Source organism: Homo sapiens, chromosome 13 (genome assembly GCF_000001405.40).
Source record: "Homo sapiens chromosome 13, GRCh38.p14 Primary Assembly".
Lineage (NCBI taxonomy): Eukaryota > Metazoa > Chordata > Mammalia > Primates > Hominidae > Homo > Homo sapiens.
Genome location: NC_000013.11, coordinates 67,524,601 through 67,534,281, shown reverse-complemented (window position 1 = coordinate 67,534,281; position 9,681 = coordinate 67,524,601).

The following is a 9,681-nucleotide window of genomic DNA, read 5'->3' as shown; positions in this document are numbered from 1 at the left end:
CATATGATTTTTCTTCAGCATGTATTATAAATTTCACTGGTTGATTTTTGAACGTTTAACCAGCCTGGCACGACCAGAGTAAACTAAATTGGTTGTGGGTAGAATTCTTTTTATACATTGCTGCATATAATTTCCCGATGTTTTGTAGAAGATTTTTACATTGATGCTCATGAAAGATATTAGTCGGTAGATCTCCTTTCTTGTAATGCCTTCATCTGATTTTAATTTTAGGATAATGCAGGCCTCTTACTATGTGTTATGAAATGTTCCCACTATGTCTATTTTCTGGACTTCGTTAAATGCTCTTGAAAGGCTAAGTGAAAACCTCTGAACCTGGTGCTTTGTGTATTGGAAAGTTTTAAATTACTGTTTCATTTTAATAGATTTAGGGATGTGCAAGTTATCTACATATAATTTTATAAATTTTTGTAGTTTGTGTCTTTCAAAGAGTTTGTCCATTTTATCCAAGTTATCTAATTTATGGGCATAGAGTTGTTTATGGTATTATTTTCTTAACATTTTAATATCCATGGACTCAGTAGTGATAACCCCGCTATGTGATTTCTGTCTTTTTGTTGTTGTTAGATTGGATAGAGCTTTATATTTTCATTGATTTTTTTCAAATAACTAACATTTAGTTTCTTTGATTTTCCCATTGTTTTCAATTTTGTTTATTTGATTTTATTATTTATTTTCTTCTGTTTGCTTTAGGCTTACATTGTTTTTCTTAGTTTCCTAAAGTGGGGTTTATATTATTGGTTTTAGTTCTTTCTTGTTCTCTGATATATATATTTAATACTATAACTCTTCCTCCAAACACTACTTTCATTGCACCCCACTCATTTTGTTGATATATTTTCAGTATAATTTATTTCAAAATATTCTAAAATGTTTCCTGAGACTTTTCATTTGAACCATGTGCCATTTAGAAGTGTGCTGTTTGATTTCTAAATATATTTTATATTATTGATTTCTAATTTAGTTTCATTGTTGTCTAAGAACATGCTTTATGTGATTACTATTATTTTAAATGTTTTGAGTTGTGTTTTATAACCCAGAATGTGGTTTATTTTTCTGAGTTCTTCATTTGAGCTTGAGAAAAAAATGTGTATGGTGTTGTGGTTGGTTGGCATATTGTATAGTTAACAAATAGATGAAGTTGGTTGGTGTGTTGTTCAGGTCATCTGTATCCTCACTGAATTTTTTCTTGTCTGATCTATAAATTACTAACCAAGAAACAGTGAAGTCTTCAACTATAATAGTGAATTTGCCTACTTTCCTCTTAGTCTGCCAATTTTGTCCTCATTTTGTTTTTCTAGTTAAGTGTATCCATGTATGATATTGTTATTTCTTACTGGGAAATTGACTTCTTTATAACTGTGTCTCTCTTTATTCCTGAGCAGTTCCCTGATTCTGAAATCTGCTTTCTCTGAAATTAATAATTTTTGCAGCTTTCTTTAGACTGGTGCTTGCATGGTATATTTTTCTCCATCCCTTTTTTTGAACCAATCAATCAGTGTTTTTCTTTAAATAGGGTTTCTTGTGGACAACATATAGGCGAGTCTTGTTTTGGTTTTTAACCATTCTGATCATCTATGTTTTTTAATTGGTATATTTGGACAATTCATGTTTAAAGTAATTGGTGGTATAGTTGGATTAATATCTACCATGTTTGTAATTGTTTGATTTCAATGCATTTTTCTTACTTCTTTTTGCCTGCTTTTTCTGCCTTATCTTCTTTTAACTGAATATTTTATATGATTCCATTTTATAGTTTCTCACTTATACTTGTTTTTATTTAAAAAAATAGAGATATACCTACAGCATATAATATACTTTTTAACTAATCAAAATTCACCTTTAAGTAATGGAATATTCACAATTGCTTTCTCCCAACCCTGGTTATATTATCATTAACTGATTGTCATTAATACCACTCATCAATAGGTTATATTCATCCCATACATTGTCACTATTATTATAACAGTCACCTATCCTTCAGATCAAATAAGAATAAAAAATATAAGATTTTATTTTATCACCATTTATTCCTTCTCTAAAATTCTTCCTTTCTTTATGCACATAAGTTTCTAACCTACACTATTTTTTCTTCTGCCTGAAGAACTACTTTTAGCATTTCTTTTAGAATATATTTGCTGATGATAAATTCTCTGTTTTTTTTTAAGAATGTTTTATTTCTTCATACTGAAGGATATATTATCTGGATATAGAATTCCACGTTGGTGTTTCGTGTTTTTCATTTTTGTTTTGTTTCAACACTTTAGATGTTTCCCTTTACATTTTTTGCTTACATAGTTTCTAAGAGAAAGTTTGCTTTGATTCTTATCCTTGTTGCTTTATAGACATTTTTATCTCTGGCTTTTTCCAGATTTCTGCCTCATTGCATTTTTTTCAGTTTGAATATAATAGGAATAAGTTATTTGTAGTGGAGTCTTTGGAGGGGAAGTATTTAGGTAATCATCAATGTTTCCTGAACATCCTGGATCTATGATTCTGAGTATGTCATTAATTTTGGAAAAGTCTCAACCATTATTATTTAAATTATTTTTTCTGTTCTTTTTTGTTTTCTTTCTTCTCCTTCTGGCATTCTGAATGTGTGTGTGTTACACTTTTTTCCCCGCACAGTTATATATTCTTTTCTTTATTTTTCTTTATTTTTCATCTTTTTTCTCTTTATGTTTCAGATTGCCAAGTTTCTTGATCTGTTTCTAGGCTCACTGATTCTTTCCTTGGCTGTAACTTTACCATTTCTTCAGTGGTATAGCTGCCTTGCTACAAGCTCTACTCCACTCAGATGTAACCTTCCCAATCCATTTCCTTGAAACCATGACCCCAGTTGAGTTTGGATTTTTTGTTTTGTCTTCATATGAGACAGACAGGTTAGAGGAGCTGGAATGGGAGAAATGTAATTCTCCCAGGTAGGATAAGGGTCTTACAAAGTCTTCTCAAAGGCAGAGTATATTTTTTAATGGAGAAGCCTCTGGGTGTATTTCACAATGGTTATGCTTTATCTCATCCTGCCAGAATTATGAAGAGATCTTTTGCATTTCTTCTCCATTAATATCTGACGGGATTCTGAGAGAAGTACATGAAAGTTTGGGGGCCCTACAAAGATTGCAACCTCCAAGTAGTTTCTCAATCTATGCTAATCCAAATTCAACTTCAACTTTATCAAATGTACCTTGCGTATGTTCCTGTCAGTTGATGGCTCCAGTGGCTTCTGCTGCAGATAAGCAGATCTTGGCTATGTCTCTCTGGATGATCCTGCCTCTCAAGATTTCAGCATAGCCATTTCCCTGTGACTTAGTTTTCTAAAAGGTCTCAATAAGTAATTGTGCTTTCAGTTTGTCCAACTCTTTATTGTAAGTACAGGAGTGATGCATTTCAAGCTCTTGACATGTTGAAGCTGAAATCTATAATCCAGTTCATTCAGTTTTTACCTCCCCTAGTTTGATTAAGCATTTTCCTGAAGTTGTCCCTTTCAATATTGCCATTTAGAGATTTAACTAACTCTATCTAGGCTTTGTAGTTCCGCACATATCTGTTAAGTGCTTTTACATTCTTTATAAGATATTCCTGAAAATTCCCTCTGTTTTCCAAAGCATGCACTCTAAAACTTAGTATCCAGTTTTCTTTTATTCCAACCAAGATATGCTGAGAAATCAGCCCTATTTCCTAAATTCCTGTTTCTGTTGAAATTTCATATTTTTTCTGCTTCCTGCCCAACTGCCTAGAAATCTAATCACACCAGTAACCTAAGCAAGCACCCAAATTGTTCAAGCCATCACTTACTCAATCTGAACTCAATTGGTTCACTAAGGTATTCATATTTTATTCTTTTTTTGAGATGGAGTCTCACTGTGTCTCCCAGGCTGGAGTGCAGTAGCGTGATCTCAGCTCACTGCAACCTCTGCCTCCTGGGTTCAAGTGCTTCTCCTGCCTCAGCCTCCTGAGTAGCTGAGATTACAGGCACCCACCATCAAACCTGGCTAATATTTGTATTTTTAGTAGAGATGTAGTTTTACCATGTTGGCCAGGCTGGAGGCAAACTTCTGACCTCAAGTGACCCACCCACCTCAGTCTCCCAAAGTGCTAGGATTACAGGTGTGAGCCACTACACCCAGCCAAATTTTATTCTTTTATTACATGAATTCTAGTCTCTAAACTCCAGAAAATATAGACACAAACATAATAAGAAATTGCATAATTTGACTAAGAAAAAGAAGAAGAGTGAAATTTCGTCTCCTTCAACATCTTGCATATTAAGGATACTTTTTGAGACAATTTTCTACATATAATTTTAAAAACATCAGAGTTATTTAAAATCTGAAAGACATTGTTTATTTCCTATTTGATTTGTATACAAAAAATAGAATAAATTTTTCAGACCCCTAATCCATACACTAGGCAAGAACACAACTGATAATAAAATTTGCTTATCCTTTACATTCCATATTCTTCAAATGTCTTTCAACATTTTTCTTGGTGTAGATGACTTCTGTGCCCATGAAGGGTGCTTTCATACTCTTTTGTCTCACCAGATGTGGTTTTATAATACTTGGGAGTAGGAACAATTTCCATTTCACAGTGCATGGAAAACAACCTGCACGGAAAGTTGAGTTAACTGACATACATATCTCAATTGCTCTTTAGTTTGGACATCCCAAGCAGCTGCTCAGCTGACTGGCCTTGCTCTCAGTCCATGCTCAACAAGTCTATCTAAAAGGCAAATTAATGAGCTAGTCGAAATTAAATTCTTGTGTGAGAAAAATTAGAACACAGTTATTTCTTTCTTTCAAACATTGAGGATAATTGACATTTCATTTCATATTATTTTAGTGTTTCAGATGTATGTCATTGCTGTGGTTTACTACTGGTATACGCAGGCTTTATAAATGTGTGACCTCTGGGATATACAGAGGGACCATTAATTTTCTGCCCAAAATGTTTTTAAAAGTTTTACCTTCAAATTATTGAATTTCAGATTTTAAAATAAATTTAGAGTGCTATTTTAATCTATCGATTGATTTTAATAAAAGTTGTTACATGACAATGAATGATTGAGGACAATCAGGTATCAACATAGCTTCTTATATAGTCCATATTCTACTAACTTTAAACTTACTTTGATAAAACTCAGAGTAGAAAACCTGCTCTCACTTTTAGTACAAGAGCTGATTATCATCTATTTAAATACATAGACATAATTAAAATTAAGCAACAGACGGGCAGCCTATCTAAACATTTTGAGCTCTGGAACCCAGTAAGTCACTCTACTGCTAGGTTATTAGCAACTAAATCATGTCAAGAATGTTAAATCCAACTTGTGGTTAAACACCAAATGGCTGTTTATTTATAGTCTTACCTGCATGTTCTGCTACAACTAAAAGAAAGAGTAAAACTTCTGCTCCTCTCATTGGTAGTCATGCAAAATAAATTTACAACTTAATTTTGAAAACTATACAGTAGCATAATTTAGAATTTAAGTACACATGACGAATGTTCTGGAAAAAGAGGATAGCTGTTATTTTCTGATGAAACATTGAAAGAAGAAACTTGAGTCAAAATAAGGATTATGTGGGTGTTCAAATACCTTTGTTTTTACAGCAGAGAGAGCATAAGGATAAAGAGGTGATAATCATTGCCCCACATTTCCCAATTAAATATGAGCATTCAACTGTCCTGAATTCTTATATGTTTTGCTCCCTATATCTCACCACCTCCTTTTGTTTTGAAACAGGGTCTCACTCTGGTTCAGACTGGAGTGCAGTGGCATGCTCACAGCTCACTGCAGCCTCAACCTCCCTGGCTTCAGTGATCCTCTCACCTCAGCCTCTCTAGAAGCTGGGACTGGATGTGTGCACCACCACGCCCAGCTAATTTTTTGTATTTTTTGTAGAGATAGGGTTTTTCCATGTTACCTAGTCTGGGCTCAAACTCCTTTCAAGCAATCCACTTGTCTCAGCCTCCCAAAGCGCTGAGATTACAGGTGTGAGCCACCACATTCATCCTCTCAACACTTCTTCCTATAAAAACAAATTTTAAGTCAATTTTACCTTGTGTGCAGAATAACTTAAAAATTGTTGACTGCCCAATGTTTACATTAAATGTTTCCAATTACAAATATAAAGAACTATTCTGAAAGTAGTAATTGCAGGTCTCTCCAACAATAAACGAAAGTTTATTAACTTCTTTTTATTTTCCCTGTGTTTGATACTAAGCATTTTTCTAAGTAATTTTTATAATGAAAATTACATATGCACATTTATGCACAGTGATTTGAGATTGAGTGAAATTTTAACATTTCTCAAGAAAGAAACAAAAAGTGGTTGCCTCCTACCCTTCGAAACCCAGACGATCTCACATTCTGAGACTTTGTCCAACCTGGTAGAAGGATAAAAGTGCAGAGTTTGAAGTGGTGATGATGTGGAATACAACTTCACATATTTTCTCTTTTACAGTTGCACTAACTTAGCTCTTCCTTGGTTAAAATGTTGCAAGTGGTACAAGAACATCAGTAGCAATCGGTAGAGGATCAAGCTTTTTTAGCAAAAAATGGAGACAGAATCTGGGTGTGTAGACTAGTGCTGCATCTTAACTACTATCTATTTTTTAAACCAGTCATTTTCTTACTTTGTTTTCATAAGATAGTCAATCAACTAATAATTATTTCTGCAGTAAATCACCTATATCTGCCCAAAACATTGTATAGTGCAGAGAAAGATAAATTGTCTCATCACTTCATACTCACAATTGTGGGCAGACCTGACACTTAGCCTGTGCTCCGTCAATATTGGATGGCTGTTTTAATACCTAGTGCAGAGACTAGTGTTGTAGTACTTAATCTGACAATCACCATCTGTGTGATTTAACATGAGCCACTTAAATTATTTGAATTTCAACTTTATTATCTATAAACCAATCTCTCAAATATATGTAAAGCCTAATGCTTTACTATTCTATCAACTTTTATTTCAATTTGCAGCCATGGAGAAATTATTCCATTTATCATCAAAACTACAAGCCACTTGCTGCTAGACATCTTTAAAATTTGTGGTCAAGATTTTGTCTTTGATAAATGAAACTACCAAATATTGTCATTATTTATAGAGATGAAAGGGCATTAACTACACATCAAGTGTTGCAGAAGTTATATGAAGCCAAATAATGTAGGAATATTTTATTTTTTAACTCTGAGTAATAGGAGCTTATTAAAATTTGAGCCGAGTTTTTGACAACTATAAATATCCTTTATGAAAATTTAATCATAGGCACCTAAAAAGAGAAGAAAATGTATACCTTTTTATATCCTAATCACTTAAATTTGGCCATGATGCATTTGTTATAATCAGTTGCCTGATTTAGTGCCTCAAAATTAATAAAGTAAATGGACTGCACTCTCAAAAAATGCTATAAAATAAAATCTCGTTAAGATAAGACAGAAAGTGAATTTTTATAAAATGTTTTTGTTGCTTTTTGAAAATGTTTTTATGTTTCTTTGGCTTGATTATATTTTTTGAGACCCTATCAGAAGTTGGTGACATGGCACATATTAATGCCAAACATGGAATCATTATTTTTTAATCCAACGGTGGTTAAGAATGTGGGTTTTAGTTGCCACGGCTTGAGCTCTACGTTGGTCCCTTTCAGCCATGGCTGAAGTGAGTGGGACACAAGGCACCAAGTGCCTAGGCTGCACACAGCATGGGGAACCTGGGACTAGCCCACATAACCATTTTCTCCTAGGCCTCCAGGCCTGACGTGAAGACATCTGATATGTCCTAGAGACATTTTCCCCATTGTCTTGGGGATTAACATAAGGCTCCTTGTTACTGAGGTAAATTTCTGCAGCTGGCTTGAATTTCTCCTCAGAAAATGAGAGATCTAGAACTAGAAATACCATTTGACCCAGCCATCCCATTACTGGGTGTATACCCAAAGGACTATAAATCATGCTGCTATAAAGACACATGCACACGTATGTTTATTGTGGCACTATTCACAATAGCAAAGACTTGGAACCAACCCAAATGTCCAACAACGATAGACTGGATTAAGAAAATGTGGCACATATATACCATGGAATACTATGCAGCCACAAAAAATGATGAGTTCATGTCCTTTGTAGGGACATGGATGAAACTGGAAACCATCATTCTCAGCAAACTATCACAAGGACAAAAAAACCAAACACCACATGTTCTCACTCATAGGTGGCAATTGAACAAAGAGAACACATGGACACAGGAAGGGGAACATCACACTCTGGGGACTGTTATAGGGTGGGGGGAGGGGGAGGGATAACATTAGGAGATATACCTAATGCTAAATGATGAGTTAATGGGTGCAGTGCACCAACATGGCACATGTATACATATGTAACAAACCTGCACATTGTGCACATGTACCCTAAAACTGAAAGTATAATAATAATAAAATTTAAAAGAAAAAAAAAAGAAAATGAGGTTGTCCTTTCTATGACATTGTCAGGCTGCAAATTTTCCAAACTTTTATGTTCTTTTTCCCTTTTAAAACTGAATGCTTTTAATAGCACCAAAGCCACCTCCTGAATGCTTTGCTGCTTAGAAATTTCTTCTACCAGATTCCCTAAATCATCTGTCTCAAGTTCAGAGTTCCACAAATCTCTAGGGCAGGGGTAAAATGCTGCCAGTCTCTTTGCTAAAACATTACAAGAGTCACCTTTGCTCCAGTTCCCAACAAGTTCCTCATTTCCATCTGAGACAACCTCAGTCCGTATCTCTATGAGCATTTTGGGCAAAGCCATTCAACAAGTCTCTAGAAAGTTCCAAACTTCCGCATATTTTTCTATCTTCTTCTGAGCCCTCCAAACTGTTCTAACCTCTGTCTGTTACCCAGTTCCAAAGTCATGTCCACATTTTCAGGTATCTATTCAGCAAAGTCTCATTCTCAGTACCAATTTATTGTATTAGTCCGTTTTCATGCTGCTGATAAAGGCATACCCGAGACTGGGCAATTTACAAAAGAAAGAGGTTTAATTAGACTTAGAGTTCTACATGGCGAGGAGCAAGTCACATCTTACGTGGATGGCAGCAGGCAAAAAGAGAGCTTGTGCAGGGAAACTTCCATTTTTTAAAAACTGTCAGATCTTGTGAGACTCAGCATCATGAGAACAATGCAGGAAAGACCTCCCTGCCCATAATTCAACCATCTCCCTCTGGGTTCCTCCCATGACACATAGGAATTGTGCAATTTACAATACAAGTTGAGGTTTGGATGGGGACACAAACAAACCATATCACATGACCTGAATAATGTACATTATACTCATTAAGTAATTTCTCATCCCCCATTCTCTTCTGCCCCCCACTACCCTTCATGATCTGCAATGTCCATCATTACACACTCTATCCCCATTTGTACATATTATTTAGCTTCCATTTATAAGTGAGAACACATACAGTACTAGACTTTCTGTTTCTGAGTTGTTTCACTTAAGATAATGGCCTCCAGTTCCATCTATGTTGCTGCAAAAGACATGACTTTATTCTTTTTATGGCTGAATAGTATTCATTTGTGTACATATACCACATTTCTTTATGAAGTGTTCTTCCATTGGTGAACACTTAGGTTGATTCCATATCTTTGCTATTGTGAATAGTGCTGCTCTCCCAGGTATAA